The sequence below is a fragment of the Homo sapiens genome, chromosome 19 (assembly GCF_000001405.40).
Source record: "Homo sapiens chromosome 19, GRCh38.p14 Primary Assembly".
Classification (NCBI taxonomy): domain Eukaryota; kingdom Metazoa; phylum Chordata; class Mammalia; order Primates; family Hominidae; genus Homo; species Homo sapiens.
Genome location: NC_000019.10, coordinates 21,113,453 through 21,132,279, shown reverse-complemented (window position 1 = coordinate 21,132,279; position 18,827 = coordinate 21,113,453). Strand labels below are relative to the sequence as shown.

At 37.1% G+C, this 18,827-nt stretch overlaps 1 protein-coding gene and 1 pseudogene across 4 annotated transcripts in view, besides 2 other annotated features; both read right to left on the bottom strand.

The window, feature by feature from the left end:
- Positions 1,687-1,887: a silencer, noted in NCBI's record as "peak3406 fragment used in MPRA reporter construct". NCBI's record gives its function as "represses an SCP1 promoter by STARR-seq MPRAs in K562 erythroleukemia cells {active_cell/tissue: K562}" and the evidence as "EXISTENCE:reporter gene assay evidence [ECO:0000049][PMID:32103011]".
- Positions 3,131-3,462: a transcriptional cis regulatory region, noted in NCBI's record as "candidate enhancer chr19.3196 targeted for multiplex CRISPR interference". NCBI's record gives its function as "positively regulates ZNF431 gene expression with high confidence in K562 cells {active_cell/tissue: K562}" and the evidence as "EXISTENCE:mutant phenotype evidence [ECO:0000015][PMID:30612741]".
- ZNF714 (zinc finger protein 714) overlaps positions 7,186-18,827 on the bottom strand; it is a 42,892-nt gene continuing 31,250 nt past the window's right edge. For 2 of the 4 annotated variants that reach the window (NR_117087.2, NR_117086.2), the window contains 2 exons: positions 13,395-15,473; positions 7,186-7,319 (listed from right to left, as the gene is read on the bottom strand). Coding sequence is in view for 1 of the 4 variants with exons in the window: in NM_182515.4 (NP_872321.2) it covers positions 13,948-15,473 (1,526 nt within the window). In the remaining 3 variants the exon portion in view is untranslated. Of the gene's footprint in view, positions 15,474-18,827 lie in introns of all 4 variants that reach the window. The other 2 variants (NR_117088.2, NM_182515.4) reach the window with 2 other exon arrangements.
- On the bottom strand, positions 7,748-8,463 carry VN1R81P (vomeronasal 1 receptor 81 pseudogene; annotated as a pseudogene).

Below are 18,827 nucleotides of genomic sequence, written 5' to 3'. Positions count from 1 at the left end.
ATTCTTGATCTTAAAGATGCCCTTTTCACTATTCCCTTGCACCCCTCATCCCAGCCTCTCTTTGCTTTTACCTGGACTGACCCTGACACCCATCAGTCCCAGCAGCTTACCTGGGCTGTACTGCCACAAGGCTTCAGGGACAGCCCTCATTACTTCAGCCAAGCCTTTTCTCATGATTGAGTTTCTTTCCACCCCTCTGCTTCTCACCTCATTCAATATGTTGACGACCTTCTTCTTTGCAGCTCCTCTTACCAAGCTTCCCATCAGAACAGTATCCTACTTCTTTAACATCTCTACTCAAAGGGGTACCAACTATCCCCCTCTAAGCCTCAAATTTCTTCCCCTAGTGTTACATATCTCAGCATAGTCCTTTGTCAACATACATGCACTCTTCATACAGACTGTGTTCAGTTAATCTCACAGACCCCTATCCCCACCACCAAAGCATCAACTCCTTTCCTTTGTAGGCATGGTTGGATACTTTCGCCTTTGGATACCTGGGTTTGCCATCCTAACAAAACCATTATATAAACTCACAAAGGAAAACACAGCCGACCCCATAGATCCCAAATCCTCTCCCCACTCTTCTTTCCATTCCTTAAAAACAGCTCTAAAAACTGCTCCCACACCGGCTCTCCCTGACTCATCCCAACCCTTTTCACTATACACAGCCAAAGTGCAGGGCTGTGCGGTCGGAATTCTTACACAAGGACCGGGACCATGCCCTGTAGCCTTTTTGTCCAAACAATTTGACCTTACTGTTTTAGCCTGGCCCTCATGTCTGTGTGCAGTGACTGCCACCACTCTAATACTTTTAGAGGTCCTCAAAATCACTAACTATGCTCAAGATGTCCTCAAAATCACAAACTATGCTCAACTCACTCTCCACAAGTCTCATAACATTCAAAATTTGTTTTCTTCCTCACACCTGATGCATATACTTTCTGCCCCCTGGCTTCTTTGGCTATACTTGCTCTTTACTGAGTCTCCCATAATTACCCTTGTTCCTGGCCCGGACTTCAGTCCAGCCTTCCACATTATTCCTGATACCACACCTGACCCCCATGACTGTATGTCTGTGATCCACCTGGCATTCACTCCATTTCCCCATATTTCCATCTTTCCTATTCCTCACCCTGATCACACTTGGTTTATTGATGGCAGTTCTCAGCATAGTCCTCTGAATTGTAATTCAGAGGAATTGTAAGGAGAATTTGTAGGCTTTAGAAGCCCATGCTGTAGCAGGCGAGTGATAACAGGCTTCAGTCCCTTTAAAGCCTGCTGTGGGATGGGATACTGGCATTGAGTGGGGTAAGGGTGATTAGGTTTTAATGGAATGGTAAGGGGTGCATGGTCAGTTGCCAAAGAGGGAGTAGAGGTATCCCATACTTGCGGATTAAGGTGGAGAGATACAAGGGGAGGAAGCAAAACAGGCTTTGAGTTGGGAAGAAGGGCAGCAATGAGATGCGGCTGTATTCCAGGAATAGTCAGGGTAGTGGATAATTTTGTTAAAATGTCTTGGCCTAATTGCTACTCACCAGCAAAGGCAGGCTATGCTATAGTCTCTTCCACATCTTTCATTGAGGCTACTGCTCTGCACCACTCCACTAGCTCTCAGCGAGCCGAACTCATTGCCTTAACTTGGGCCCTCACTCTTGCAAAGGTACTGTACGTCAATATTTATACTGGCTCTAAATATGCCTTCCATATCCTGCACCACCATGCTGTTATGTGGGCTGAAAGAGGTTTCCTCACCACACAAGGCTCTTACATTATCAATGCCTCTCTAATAAAGGCTCTCCTTAAGGCTGCTCTCCTGCCAGCCAAGGCTGGGGTCATTCATTGTAAAGGACACCAGAAACCAACTCATCTTATTGCTAAAGGAAATGCCTATGCTGACAGAACAGCAAAAGAAATAGCAAATGCCTCCACACCCACAAATATTCCAGCCCTCACTCCAAAAGGCCAATATTTTTCTTTCTACTCTATCACCCCCACCTACTCCTCTTCTGAAAACCTGCTCTACCAGTCTTTCCAACTCAGGGCAAGTGGCTCTTAGCTCATGAAAAATTTATTCTTCCTCAGCTTTATCCAGGAAACAAAGATTATTTTACTTATTATCTCTCCTGCATAGGATTTGCAATCACAACTATTGAACTTCTCCATTCACATTGCCACCCACACCTATGGAAAAAGAGTAATATAATAGGTCGTTGGCTTAACAACAGGGAATCCTATTCATATGATGGAAAATGGGGACAAAAAGCTTTGGTACATAAAACATTATTCCTTCCTTGGTCTAAAAACTCATCGCCACCTACATTAAAGCTAATATGCCTGATTACTGTTTTTAGAGAACTTATTTTCTTAGGGCAGTTCCAAGCTAAAAAATATGCTAACTGGCACCTCTTTAGCCACATAAAAAATGCACCCTAGACCTGAAACTTACTGGACTAACTCATAATAAAATTTTCTTTAAGGTGTCCACGCAGTCCCTGGTCATGCTTGAAGCAGTCCTGAGAAATATCACCCCTACCCCAATGACCCTCACTAAAAAGTTATATTTTCTTTATCTTTTCTTATAACTTTATATTTTAAAAATAAAAAGACAGGAATGTCAGGCCTCAGCTGAAGCTCAGCCATTATAACCCCTGTGACCTGCACATATATGTCCAGATGGCCTGCAGGAGCCAAGAAGTCTGGAGCAGCCAAAAAATCACAAAGAAGTGGAACAGCCAGTTCCTGCCTTAACTAGTTAACCCACCTTATGACATTCTACCATTATGACTTGTTCCCGATAAAGCTGCCCCGCTCCTATCTCCCTTTGCTGACTCTCTTTCTGGACTTAGCCCACTTGCACCCAAGTGAATAAACAGGCTTGTTGCTCACACAAATCCTGTTTGGTGGTCTCTTCACCTGGATGCGCTTGACATTTTGTAAAATGCATAATGAAGAAAACCAAATTTAGTAATTGGTTAGGTACAATTACGTGGTTTCTTAATTTGTACTGTTGTGGGAAAGTAAGGAACTGGAGAGACGAAATGGAGTGAAGGAAAGTGTTTATTTAAGGTGTACACTGGCACAGCGGACACATGTCCTGAAACTCTGAGCCCAGAGCAAAGAAAATGAGTCCCCTTTAAGCATTTTGAGGTGGGCACTGTGTGAAGCAGGAAGCAGGCTTACAGAAATGAGAACAAAGGCTGCTGTGACACTTTTGCAACATGTCTTACATCTCTGGGAAAACTTAGTTTGCAGCTTATGCTTATCTGTCTTGTGACCTTGCAGCTGTGCAAGGAAGAAAGAAACAAGAGTTTACAGAGCCTACAAAATATGTGGAAGGTAGATATGGTTAATGTTTCCTGGGACAGACAGTTAATATTCTCTTCTAACTTCAGGGGGGCTACTTAAATTCTTGTTAGCCTTGGTTAATACAGCAATTCATTCTATGAGCTATTGTTATTTCTCTATTACTATAATCTTTACTATTATTACTTATGCTATTATTCTGTTATTTTCTTAAGTTCCTACTTCAATAGATTAAAGGTGAAAATTTCCTGGTTATGTAATCAGAGCTTAATGGGCAGTTTATAGTTGGTGAAGCCTGAATTTTGTTTCTCTGAATGTAGTAATTAAAAATAATGCACCTGAGTTAGTTTTTTTTAAAGTATGAACCCAGGGACTAGAGACACCTCAGTCTAATTGCCTGCCACTTAATTATTTTCACACAGCACGGGGAACTGATTTTCTGCTGCATTTTTCACCTGTGTCCCAAGCAGGGTTTTTAAGTCTAAACTCCCATGCCCCATATCTCCAGCCTCACTGTGGCTTGCAGTAAGATACTAAATTTCCAGGTTCTTCTGGCATTCCTAAATGCCAACTTTTCCTTCCTAATTCACATTATCACTTCTTTGTCTTTTAGTGTACTTTTTTTATATCATATTTTAATTAATTATTTTTTGGTAAAACATTAAATGGTGCTTTTAAGAAGTTGTATTAACTGTTTGTAAATATTTCCCATGAGGAGAAAGCAAATAATAATCCCCCGATGTTGTATTGTAGAAAATCTCTGTGTCTCTTTTCGTTTTATCTTCTCTAGGCACAGAGATCTTATCAGAATGTTTTTGGGTCAAAGTTCTGCTTTGGAAAATTTATGGGGTGATGTGTCCTCAGCCACCCTTTAGTTTTTTGCTGGTCCTGGGCTTAGTACTATCTGGGGATAAACCGAGATATCTGCCATGCTTATGTCAGCTTGAATGTCCGGTGGATATCAGCTTCTGGTTTATTTTCTCCCTTAGGATGACCTGAAGTATGGAGTGTATCCTTTCTAGGGAGCAAGTGGATACCCTGGGGCTAAGAGGAATCTTCTGGTGTACTCTAACTTTGAAAAGCTGTTAAAATTGCCTTCACCTAACCCAGCTTTCATTTCTTGGAGACAAATTGCTGGTCAGCCAATCAGATGCTGATAATGAGGGGAAAACACAGACATAATTTCTACCCCCTGGATAGAAATTATGTAAGGGGGCAGAAGAATAGTGAAATAAATATAGTAAAAGAAAAAGAGTAAAAAAATTGGGCCAGATGCGGTGGCTCATGCCTGTAATCCCAGCACTTCGGGAGGCCAAGGCAGGCAGAGCACGAGGTCAGGAGATTGAGACCATCCTGGCTAACACAGTGAAACCCAGTCTCTACTAAAAATACAAAAAATTAGCCAGGTGTGGTGGTGGGCACCTGCAGTCCCAGCTACTCAGGAGGCTGAGGCAGGAGAATGGTGTGAATCTGGGAGGCAGAGCTTGCAGTGAGCCAAGATCACGCCACTGCACTCCAGCCTGGGCAACAGAGTGAGATCCGTTTCAAAGAAAGAAAAAAAAAAAGTGAAAAATTTGTGACCAAAAAAATAGTATTGGAACAGAAATTAAAAGAAATTAAAGAATGTGTAAGCAGAAACTCAGTTGTATGTAAGAAAACCCAATTCCTCCTGAGAAAGAGAAAGAGCTGGAGTCCTTTAAAAATTAACGGCCTGTTTTTCTGTGGCTAGCAAGGCTTATCTCTCCTCCTTTCCCAGGCATTTTGAAGACCCTGTTTCTCTAGCTGTGCAGCTGCAAGGTCACTAGATAGATAAACTCAAGTTGTAAAACATGTTTTTCCTTGGAAAGTAAAAAATTATGTAATGCATGTCACAATTAATTGAATAACTGTCTTTGTTTCTCGCTTCTGTAATATGCTTCTCCCTGCACAGATCTCCCCCTGCCATCCCACAAAATGCTTAAAGGGTAACTTAACTCTTTGTTCAGGGCTCAGTCCTTTGGATGTTAATCCGACTAGGCCAGTGCACCTAAATAATAAATATCCTCCTCAACCCCATCAGTCTCTCTGATTTCTTATCAATCCTGCTACAGTATCCCAAAAGACAAGCAACAAAAACAACAACAAACTGACTCCAGTGAGATGGTGTAAAAGCTTGCAAAGTAAAATGCACCACTGTATTCCAGCCTGGGCGATAGACTGAGACTCCATTTGAAACAACAACAACAACAAAAAATAAACAAACAAAATTTATTAAACTTTCAAAATACAAAAACATCATCAAAAAGTCATAGCATTTCTATACATTAGTAACTATCTCAAAATGAAATTCAAAAAAATTCCATCTACCTAACTATAGTTTGAAGTAAATTTAACCAAAAAGTTGAAACACCTTACATTCTACTCTAAAGAACATTATACAAATTAAGTAACACATAAATGGAATAATATTACTCATTCATGAACTGGCATTTTTAATAGTTAAATATTTGTATTACACAAAATGATCTGCAGATATAATGCAACCTCTATCAAAATACCAGTGACATACTTCATAGACATTTTTAAAAAGCATATCTAAAATTCATATGTTACCACAAAACACCCTAAATAGCCAAAGCAATCAAGACAAAAGAAGGTATCACCCTGACTTTGAAATACACTACAAAACTGTGGTAACCAAAACAGTATGTCACTTGAATAAAAACAGAGATATAGGCCAATGGAGCAGAAGAAAAAGAGAGCAGAAATATATCAGTGTATTTACAGCTAACTGATTTTAAATACAGGTGACTTTTTTTTTTAAGGGAAATAACAGTATCTTCAATAAATGATGTTTAGAAAACTTTATGTCCACATGCAGAGAAAAAAAAGTGAGACCCTCATCTCACACCATATGTAAAAATAAACTCAAAATAAATTAGCCACTTAAATGTAAGGCCTAAAACTCTTAAACTACTACTACCAAAAAATAGAGTGAAAGCCCCATAACATTGGTCTGGGCAGCAAGTTTTTTGATTTAACCTAAATATCCCAGGACACAAAAGGAAGAACAAGTCAGTCAGATCACTTCAAATTAAAAAGCTGCTGCACAGAATCTGATACAATGAACAGAATGTGACAACTAAAAAAAGGGAGAAAATATTTGCAAATTATACATGTGACAAGGGGTTAATATCAAAAATATATACAAAACTCAAATGACAATACAACAAAAATAAGTAACTATTAAAAATAAGTAGCTGAAATAAGTATTTTTCAAGAAAATACATACATAATGGCCAACTGATATATTTAAAAATGCTCAATGTCAATTATCACAAAAAGGCAAGCCAAAAAAGAAAAAACAAAACTAGGAGATATCAACTCGTTCCTGTTAGAATGACTCTTATTAAAAAGAAAAAGCGTTGGTAAAGATGTGAAGAAAAGGGAAGGCTTGCACACTGTTGGTTTGGAATGTAAATGAAGACAGCCATTATGAAAAACAAAATAGAGATTTCTCAAAAAACTTAAACTACCATGTCATAACAGCAATTGCACTACTGGATATATATCCAAAACAAATAAAATCAGAATGAAGAAACATTTGCAATTCTGTTTGTAGCACTTTTCACAATAGCCAAAATACAGAATAAACAGTTTAACATCTAATGAGTAAATGAAGACAATGTGGTAGATATACACAACAGAATATTATTTTTAAAATAAGAAAATTCCTTTTCTCTTGAGACGGAGTCTCACTCTGTTACCCAGGCTGGATGCAGTGGCACAATCTCAGTTCACTGCAACCTCTGCATCCCTGGCTCAAGGGATTCTCATGCCTCAGCCTCTGGAGTAGCTGGGATTACAGGCATGCACTACCATGCCCATGCCCAGCTGAGATTTTTTTTTTTTTTTTGTAGAGACGGGGATTTTCCATGTTGACCAGGCTGGTCTCAAACTCCTGGGCTCAAGCAATCCACCTGCCCTGGCTTCCCACAGTGCTGGGATTACAGGTGTAAGACACCACACCTGGCCTTAAAAAAAAAAAAAAAAAAGAAAAAAATTATATTATTTTAAATTACATAGATTAAGCTGGAGGACATTATATTAGTTGGGATAGGCCAGGCACAGAAAGATTAATATTTCATGATTTCACCTATACATGGATTCCAAAAATCTTAATCCCATTGATGTATAGAGTAAAATGGTGACCATCAGATGCCAAGGTATTTAGAAGAAATGGGGGTTTGGAAAGTCTGTCAAATAATAAGTAATTATAGTCAAATAGGAGAAATAAGTTCAAGAGATTTATTGTACAACATGGTGACTATAGTTCATAATAATGTATTTGGATTTTTGAAAAATGATAAGACGTGGTCTCACCACAAAAATGTTAACTATGTGAGGTATTAATTACCTAGAAATAATAACAATGTATATATACTTCAAAATATGTTCTACAGAAAAAGCACACATTTTCTCAAGTTGAAAGAAAATATTTTTAAGACATAAAAGAATAACAATGTGTCAAATACTGTGTCTTTGTGATTACTTTGGCTAAATAGTATGAAAATACATAGTTTGGGGACTATTGTCATTTAATTTTTTAGTCATAATCATAGGAACTCTGATATTTAACAGCATGTTCAAAATATTATGTTCTACAGAAAAAGTACACATTTTTATCTGTCAAGAGAAAATATTTTCAAAATGTTATAGAATAAGAATGTGTCAAATACTGTATCTTTGTGGTAATCTTGGCTAAATAGTATCAAAAATATGTATTTTGGGGCTATTATTGTCATTTGTCAGTCATAACCATAGGAACTCTGATATTTAACAGCATGGTTTGGACCCAGCACATTGCATGGGAGAAGCCAATGTACTTTAGGATTTTTACTTTAAGCTTGGGCCACCTGGAGTTTCTGGTACTGGTGGTAATGGTATGAAAGCCACTAAAGGGGCAGGTGTTGCTTATGGTCCCATGACTGGCCAGTCTGTGAACACAGTAAACTAGTTTGCATGCAAAATAACAGAATGTTTTAATCCAAAACTTGTCATGATCTCCAAATGTTTTTCAGAGAAAATGACCCAGGAGTTGGCTACAGCTTGGTGACTAAAAATAAAAACCGTAGACTAAACTTCTCCCACTAAAAGAAAAAATATAAAAAATAAGAGAAATTTCTCCAAATTGTAAAATCAATATAGAAAAGACATATTTTTCTAAATTTTAAATTCAGAGGTCATTTTATTATTTTGCAATCTTTACCACCACACTTAAAAGATTCTGCACGGAAATGTAAATTGTGCTGTAATTATATCATAGAAAATTAAATTCGTGGCCGGGCACTGTGGCTCATGCCTGTAATCCCACCACTTTGGGAGGTCGAGGCGGGCGGATCACGAGGTCAGGAGATTGAGACCATCCTGGCTAACATGGTGAAATCCCGTCTCTACTAAAAATACAAAAAAATTAGACGGGTGCGGTAGCGGGCGCCTGTAGTCCCAGCTACTCGGGAGGCTGAGGCGGGAGAATGGCGTGAACCCGGAAGGCGGAGCTTGCAGTGAGCCAAGATCACACCACTGTACTCTAGCCTGGGAGACAGAGCAAGACTCTGTCTCTAAAAAATAAAAAGTAAAAATAAAAAAAGAAAATTAAATTCGTTTACTATTAACTCTCTTAAAAATTTAATTTCCATATTTTCAAGCAAGTTTTATATTTGCCACACTTTGTATAAGAATCTAATAAGATTTTTCTTTTAAAAACAAAGAAATGCAATGCTAATTTAATCCTCTTGCCTGTGGACAGTGTGCGCCTTTAATCTTTTTTTTTTTTTTTTTTTGAGACAGAGTTTTGCTCTTGTCCAGGCTGGAGTGCAATGGCGCAATTTCGGCTCACTGCAACCTCTGCCTCCTGGGTTCAAGCGATTCTCCTGCATCAGCCTCCCGAGTAGCTGGGATTACAGGCATGCGCCACAACATGTGGCTAATTTTGTATTTGTAGTAGACACGGGGTTTCACCATGTTGGTCAGGCTGGTCTCGAACTCCTGAGCTCAAGTGATCCACTTGCCTCGGCCTCTCAAAGTGCTGGGATTAGAGGCGTGAGCCACCACACCTGGCTTTTATCTTAATTAACTAATCTGAATGTTATATTGATAAGCGAACTCACCAGTTAAAATCCATTTTTAAGTGCACTAAAAATAGAATTTTGTCATCAAAATCTACAAAATACCAGGCGAAATGAAATGGCGTGAAGAGAACAGTCAGAAAACTGTAGCTATAACTCAGAAAAAGAAGGGCTGTGATGCATACATAGTTGGAAAATACATACGAGAAACAAATCTGAAGAGAAGTAGAAAATAAAAGAAGCAGAATTTATTTTTTTTTTTATGAGTCTCATTCTGTCACCCAGGCTGTAGTGCAATGGCACAATCTCGGCTCACCACAATCTTCGCCTCCTGGGTTCAAGCAATTCTTCTGCCTCAGCCTCCTGAGTAGCTGGGCTACAGGTGGATGCCACCACAATCAGCTAATTTTTGTAGTTTATTAGTAGAGACCGGGTTTCACCAGGCTGGTCTGAAACTCCTAACCTCAGGTGATCCATCTGCCTCGGCCAGAATTTCTCTTTAAATTCAGCAAGATTCAGTTTTATAGTCTGGAAAAAATGTCCACTCCATATGAAGAATCAATCTTATTTCTTCACCACTGATATCTTTCATTTCTGACTTGAAATTACAAACTAACTCCAGCAGGAATATTTGTGAATTATTATGGAGCATCGATTACACAGTAAGAACTGTAATGTATGTTTGCTACATTTATATATAAAAACATCCTCATGACTTATGAAGCCCCCCAGTACTTACCTGAACAAATTGACTCAATAAATAAATATACTTATGTCAATTATAAAAAGTGAAAGGAACAATCACTAAAGAAAAGAAAACTTATATATTGTTCTCCCCTTAAAAGAACAAAATGGAGTGCTCTCACTAAATAAAATGTAACTTAATACACTACTTTTGGAATTACATCTAAAAATTATTTTGTGTGCACTAAATTTCATAAAAATTCTTATAATCACAGACCAGCTCATATAATGAATACTTCCTAAACCATAAAACAAAAAAAATGTAAGAAACAAAAAAAGTATGGGTCTAGCATGAGTACCAGGCAAGTATATACAGAGAATTTGCATGAAAAGGTTCAGAACTGTAAGTCATGGATTGTACAGTAATAAATTCAATACAAAGCACAAAGTATACATTTGCTTTCAGCATTTTTTAAGGTTTTTAGTTTTATAGTAGCCACCTTATTAAAATGATTTTTATTCCCATATTGTTCTTTTCTGAAAATAGGTACAAACTCATACTCACACACACACACTTATTCCATAATTTTCTTACACCTAAAGTTTGTCTTTAGACTAATACATATTTAACTCTATGTGAATCAAAAAGTCTGCATGTTTGCAGGCAGACAGGCCACATGTTCAAAGAAAAATATATAACAATTTGGAAAAAATATTAATAGTTTAGAAATGAATTTTATTTATACTCATATATAATTTGTATTATGACCATAAAAATAACTCTATAGTAAATAACAATTGTACATTTTAAAATTTATAAAAAGTGGCCGGGCACGGTGGCTCATGCCTGTAATCCCAGCACTTTGGGAGGTCAAGGCAGGCAGATCATGAGGTCAGGAGATCGAGACCAGATCACGAGGTCAGGAGATTGAGACCATCCTGGCTAACATGGTGAAACCCCATCTCTACTAAAAATACAAAAAATTAGCCGGGCATGGTGGTGGGCGCCTGTAGTCCTAGCTGCTTGGGAGGCTGAGGCAGGAAAATGGCGTGAACCCGGGAAGTGGAGCTTGCAGTGAGCCGAGATTGCACACTCCAGCCTGGGCGACAGAGCGAGACTCCGTCTCAACAACAACAAGAACAACAACAACAAAAAATTTTTAAAAAGTGTAGGTTTGGATTGTTTGTAAAACAAAGGAGAAATGCTATGGGTGAAGGATGCCTCACTTAACCCTGATGCTACTATTATATATTGTATTCCTGTACTAAAATATGCCATATAAGTGCATAAATATATACTCATATTATGTACCCACCAAAATTAAATTTAAATGATTAAAAACAAAATAAAAATTTAACCTACAGAAACAATATTCTTTAACTTATTTGCGGTTTAAAGCCACTGGCAAAAAAAATTACTAGAGATGTTAATCCATTATGTTACTAAATAGTATATCGTTACCATCTTTTACCTATACCCTTCAGTAAGGTGGAACAGGGTAAAGTTTGTGGTATAATAATGCTTCATTGAATGCACAATAGTATTTAACATGTTAAAAATGTTAAACTATTAACTTCACACAATCTAAAATTTTAAAAATGTACTGCATCTTATATAAAAGTACAATTAGTATGATAAACTAAATTTTAAATAAAATTAAATGTTTTTTCATAATGCAGAATATTACTCTGAACACCAACCTCATGCACCACTCAATATTATAAGTTAACCCCAAAGAACCTCTCCACTTACATTTTCATTATGCATCTTACATTCTAATGTTTTTACTTTTCAATAGAAAAGATCACAAATAATGCCCACCTAATAAAAAAGAATCTCTTGCCAGGAGCAGTGGCTCATGCCTGTGTAATCCCAGCACCTTTGGAGGCCAAGGTGGGTGGATCACAAGGTGAGGAGTTTGAGACCAGCCTGGCCAACATGATGAAATCCTGTCTGTACTAGAAACATAAAAATTAGCTGGGCGTGGTGATATGCGCCTGTAATCCCAGCTACTCAGGAGGCTGAGGGAGGAGAATCGCTTGAAACTGGAAATTGAAGGTTGCAGTGAGCCGAGATCATGCCACTGTGCTCCAGCCTGGACGAAAGAGCAAAACTCCATCTCAAAAAAACAGAACAAAACAAAGAAAGAATCTTTCATATCTTTGATACAGCAATAATTGATCCCATGCTTTCACATGTGAATCCAATAGGAATGAAGAAACGGCAGGAATTTCAGAGTTGAATGACATCATTATTCACTTTTCAAAAAATCTGTAATATTTTTCAAGAAATAAAGTATACTTTGAATGTAATTATAACTGCAAAAAACCTTCTGATCCTCTTAAAGTTATATACAAATAATTTTTCTACCAACTTTAATTTTCTATACTCAGCCCTCTGATTTAGTATATCTGATGTTGTCAGTGCCTTATGTATTTCTACCATAAATTCTGATATTTACACAGACTTACTTATGGATTAAATTTTTTTTAACTTTTACTGCATCTGCAAAAATATATTCTAGTATGAACTCTGTTTTCTAAGCTGTAGTTTTTGAAAAAGTGTTTTTCCAAATTTACTACATTTGCATGATTTTTCTTCAATATAAATTCCCTGATATTGAACAAAGTGTGAAAGTGCTTCAGAGTTTTTCCTCTACAAAAAATGTCTACAATAAGATCTGTGATACAAGTAAAGGCACTACTACCCACTTTATATTTGTAACATTCATCTTCAAAATAAATATTCTTCACTGTAAAGTTCATATTTTCTTTTTTTTTTACTTTTTAGATGGAGTCTTGCTCTGTGGCCCAGGCTAGAGTGCAATCTCAGCTCACTGCAACCTCTCCCTCCCCAAGTTCAAGTGATTCTCCTGCCTCAGCCTCTTGAGTAGCTGGGATTACAGGCACCACCACCGCAACCGGCTAATTGTTGTATTTTTAGTAGAGATGGGGTTTCACCATCTTGGATAGGCTGGTCTCAAACTCCTGACCTCATGATCCACCTGCCTTGGCCTACCAAAGTGCTGGGATTATAGGCCTGAGCCACCACGCCTGGTCAAAAGCTTGTATTTTCTGAAAGGTCTTTTGACAGTAATTGTACTTATAATGCTTTTATTAAGTATGAACTATCTGGTGTTGAGATATGAACATATATTAATGGCTTTTTCAGTCTTTATATTTGTATAATTTATCTCAAGTACAAATGCTTTCCTGTGCAATAAGGTGTGAGCACTGGTTAAGTTTTGCCACATTGTTCACACATGTAGGTGTTTTCTCCAGTATGAATTATCTTACCTACAATCAAGTGTGACAACCATTTAAAGGCTTTGTCTCATTCTTCAGATTTCTAAGATTTCTCACCAGTATAATTTCTTTTATGGTTAGAAAAGTTTGAGGTGTTGTCAAAAGCATTGCCAGATCTTTCTGGTTTGCAGAGTTTCTTTCCAGTATGAATTATGTTATGTCTGTTAAGAATTGAGGGCTTGTTAAAGGCTTTGCCATGTTTTTCACCCTCGTAGGGTTTCTGTACAGTATGAATTTTTAATGCCTAGTAAGAGTTGAAGACTGGTTAAAGGCTTTGCCATATTCTTCACATTTGTAGAATTTCTCTCCAGTATAAATTATTTTCTTAAAAAGGTTCGAGGACTGGTTGAAAGCACTGGCACATTCTTCACAATTGTAGGGTTTCGTTCCAGTATGAATTTTCTTTTCTTTTTTTTTTTTTTTTTGAGACAGAGTCTTGCCTTGTGGCCCAGGCTGGAGTAGAATGGCGCGATCTTGGCTCACTGCAACCTCTGCCTCCCAGGTTCAAATGATTCTCCTGCCTCTGCCTCCCAAGTAGCTGGGATTACAGGCGCCTGCCACCACACCCAGCAAATTTTTGTATTTTTAGTAGAGATGGGGTTTTACCATGTTGGCCAGGCTGGTCTTGAACTCCTGACCTCGCGATCTGCTCACCTAGTCCTCTCAAAGTGTTGGGATTACAGGCATGAGCCACCATGCCCTGCTGAATTTTCCTATGTTTAGTAAGAGTTGAGGATTGGTTAAAGGCTTTACCACATTCTTCACATTTGTAAGATTTCTCTCCAGTATGAATTATGTTATGTTTAGTAAGGTTTGAGGATCGGTTGAAAGCTTTGCCACATTCTTCACATTTGTAGGGTTTCTCTCCAGTGTGAATTCTCTTATGTGTAGTAAGGTTTGAGGATCGGTTAAAAGCTTTGCCACATTCTTCACATTTGTAGAGTTTCTCTCCAGTATGAATTATCTTATGTTTGGTAAGGTTTGAGGATTGGTTAAAAGCTTTGCCACATTCTTCACATTTGTAAGGTTTCTCTCCAGTATGAATTATCTTATGTATAGTAAGTTTTGAGGAGTGGTTAAAGGCTTTGCCACATTCTTCACATTTGTAGGGTTTCTCTCCAGTATGAATCATCTTATGTGTAGTAAGGTGTGAAGACACATTAAAGGCTTTGCCACATTCTTCACATTTGTAGGGTTTCTCTCCAGTATGAATTCTTTTATGTTTTGTAAGGGTTGAAGACCAGTTAAAGCCTTTGCCACATTGTTCACATTTGTAAGATTTCTCTCCAGAATGAATTATCTTATGTTTAGTAAGGTATGAGAATCGGTTAAAAGCTTTGTCACATTCTTCACATTTGTAGGGTTTTTCTTTAACATGAATGAACTTATGTGTAGTAAGGGCTGAAGGGTGGTTAAAAGCTTTACCACATTCTTCACATTTGAAGGGCTTCTCTCCAGTATGAATTACCTTATGTGTAGTAAGGTGTGAAGAATGGTAGAAGGCTTTGCCACATTCTTCACATCTGTAGGGTTTCTCTCCAGTATGAATCATCTTATGTGTAGTAAGGGTTGAGGAGTGCTTAAAAGCTTTGCCACATTCTTCACATTTGAAGGGTTTCTCTCCAGTATGAACTCTCTTGTGTCTAGTAAGGGTTGAGAACCGCTTAAACACTTTGTCACATTCTTCACATTGGTAAGAATTCTCTCTAATATGAATTCTTTTATGTTGATGTAGGTGTAAAAGCATGCAAAATGATTCATCACATTTTTTACATTTGAAAGGTTTCTCTCCAGTATGTCTTGTCTTGTGTCTATTTGAATTGAAAATTTTATGAAAGACTTTTATATATTTATCACATGGAAATATTTTGCTCTGGGTAGTTGTCAAACACTGGTTTAGTTCATTATAACCTTTTTTGTACACCTTACACTCAACCACATTTGCGGAGCCTTTTCTTAACTGTAAATTCTCATGTTCACATTTGCCATGTCTTCTCAGTATCACTTGTTGAAAAGAATCTTTTATGTCTTGCTCTGGCCAAAGGTCTCTGGTAAAAGAAGAACACATAGCTGAAAGAAATACAAACAACAAATTATTCAACTTACTAGACTCTGATAAACATACTTTACAAATCTAACCTATATTATACAAACTACATAAGCAAGATGCCATAATAAAATACCACAGGCCCTAAATCCTTCATAGACATATAAATGTAATAAAAGCATACTGACCAAAATACATAAGGAAAACTTATAAATAAGCATGTAAAGTTCCCCAGGTGAGTACACAGATGAGTACACAGGAATGCAAAGACACAGAAGAAAAAGAAAAGTCCATTACCTTTGCCCAACACAGTTCTTCCTACTCAACAATATAACATACTGCCTTTCAAAGTAAATTGCTAACTTTTGGTTTCTTTTTTAATAAACAAGTAAAATACTGGCACATACATCTATATTACTTGCTTCTAGGGGCCTTTCCAGAAACTGGTCTCCCGTAACATAAAGTGCTGAAAAAAATGGTGGTATATTTTGGAGTTATAGTTTGGGTCTTGAGACCAAAGGTAATTGTTACAGCAGCAGAGAGACTGCAGTACAACAGACAGAAAACAGAGCAAATGGTTACTGATTAAGATGAAGCAGAAATAAACTCCTTTAACTAAAAAGTAAACACAAAATTTTAGACAAGATACATTCTAAGAACATGTTTGAGAGTCTACCAGGATCTCTAACCAAGATAATTGTTTTCAGACTATGCCAGGAGAAAGCTACAAGATAAAAACTGTGTCAGGTAGCTTTATTTAATGTCTAAATTTTAATCAAAGATTACAATGAATACAAAATAGGGCAAAATGGTTCTATCAAAAATATTATAAAATTTTCAGAAAGAAACCATAAAAAAGATGTATATATTAATTTTAAAAATTAAAAATAAATTGAATACTCAATGAGTAAAATAGGAATACAGAGAACTATAGAAAACCAGAAAAAACTGATAAGAAAAAAATATTTAAAATATCCAAAAAACAGAAATTGTAAAGGTAAAAAATATCAAAAGAAAATATAACTCAAAAATTCTGAAAGAAAAAATATTGTCAAAATGAAGAAGCTCAACAAACAATTAGGATACACACAAAGATATTTATAACAAACACATATATAAGCACAATTTCAAAAACCACAGACAAGAAGAGAATGGAGCTGCAAGATAAAAATGGCATGTCATTTACAAGCACAGTCTTATAAGATAGTCAGTGAACTGTCAACAAAAGCTTTGCAGGCCAGAAGGAAACTGTGATATAGCCAAAGTCCTAAAAAAAAATAGCTATCAAGTGAGAATAATACCAGTCCTGCCCAATAAAAAGAAAAAAACCTTCAAAAATAACCAAATTCTGAAAAAAAATATTGGCACTTCATATGCCCTAAACATAAAAGATGCTGAAAGCAGTTGCTTCTACTGAAAATAATACGATTAAATAAAGTAATTTTATAAATAATAATTTTATCATATAAATACATTATTTTCTAGGGAAACATGCACATACACAAAAATGGAATTTCTTAGCATTATAATAATGGCACAAAAAACATTTTTAATTATTCTCTAAAATTTGAAAGGTAAAAGAATAGAAATCATTATAAACATTTGTTAATGATATACAACATAAAATATATGATTAGCAACATCAATGACAAATTTGAGGGCAGATATAATGAGAAAAAATTTATGAATCCAGCTGAAGTTCATTTTTTACCAGATTAAAATACACTGTTTTATCTTTTAGAGGTATTATGTAATTCCTAATATACCACCAAGAATATATCTGAATAGATACACAAAACAAAATAAGAAAGAAGTAAAAGCATATCAAGATAAGTATAAAAAAGACACAGAGACAGAAAAAGAGAAAATGAGGAACAAAGATACAAGAATCAAATAAAACAATAAAATAACACTACTAAGTCTTTGTAACTGGAGAAAAATAAAATTCTTTTCAGAGAAGCAAATGCTGAAGGAATACATGACCACCAGGCCTGCCTTGCTAGATAGAGCTATTAAGGAAGCACTAAATATGGGAAGAAAAAAACCATTACCAGCCACTGCAAAAACAAAGTGAAGTACAAAGATGAATGATGCTATAAAACAACTACATCAACGACTCTGCAAAATAAGCAGCTAGCACCACTTGGATAGAATCAAAATCAAACATAACAATATTAGCCTTAAATGTAATAGGCTGAATGCCTCAATTGAAAGACATAGAAGGGCAAACTGGATAAAGAGTCATGACCCATTTGTGTGCTGTATTCAAGAGACCCACTTCGCATGAAAAGACAAATGTAGGCTCAAATTAAAGAATGGAGGAAAATTACAAAGCAAATAAAAGCAGAAAAAAAAGCAGGGGTTGCAATCATAGTTTCTTTTTTTTTTTTTTTTGAGATGGAGTCTCGCTCTGTCACCTAGGTTCGAGTGCAGTGGTGCGATCTCAGCTCACTGCAAGCTCCATCTCCTGGGTTCATGTCATTCTCCCGCCTCAGCCTCCCAAGTAGCTGGGACTACAGGCACCCGCCACCACACCTGGCTAATTTTTTGTATTTTTAGTAGACGAGGTTTCACTGTGTTAGCTAGGATGGTCTCGATCTCCTGACCTTGTGATCTGTCCACCTTGGCCTCCCAAAGTGCTGGGATTACAGGCGTGAGCCACCGAGCCCAGCCTGCAATCACAGTTTCTGACAAAACAAACTTTAAACCAACAAAGATCAAAAAAGACAAAGAAGTACGTTACATAATGGTAAAGAGATCAATTCAAGGAGCACCCAGATTCATAAAACACATTCTTAGAGAACTATAAAGAGACTTAGACTTCCACATAATAATAGTGAGAGTCTTTAACACCCCACTGTTAATATTAGACAGATCATTGAGACAGAAAAGTAACAAGGCTTGAACTCAGCTGTGGGTCAAGTGGACCTGACAGATATCTACAGAACTCTCCAGCCACAAACAACACAATACACATTCTTCTAAGTTCCACATGGCACTTACTCTAAAATTGATCATATGGCTGGGCATGGTGGCTCACGCTTGTAACCCTAGCACTTTGGGAGGCCAAGGTGGGTGGATTGCCTGAACTCAAGAGTTCAAATCCAGCCTGGGGAACACAGAGAAACCCCGTCTGTACTAAAAATACAAAAAAAATTAGCCAGGCGTGGCAGTATGTGCCTGTAATCCCAGCTACTCAGGAGGCTGAGACAGGAGAATCGCTTGAACCTGGGAGGTGGAGGTTACAGTGAGCCAAGATTGTGCCATTGCACTCCAGCCTGGGTGACAGAGCGAGACTCGGTCTCAAAAAAAAAAAAGAAGAAAAAAGAAAAGAAAAAAAATTGTAACATAATTGGAAGTAAAACACTTCTCAGCAA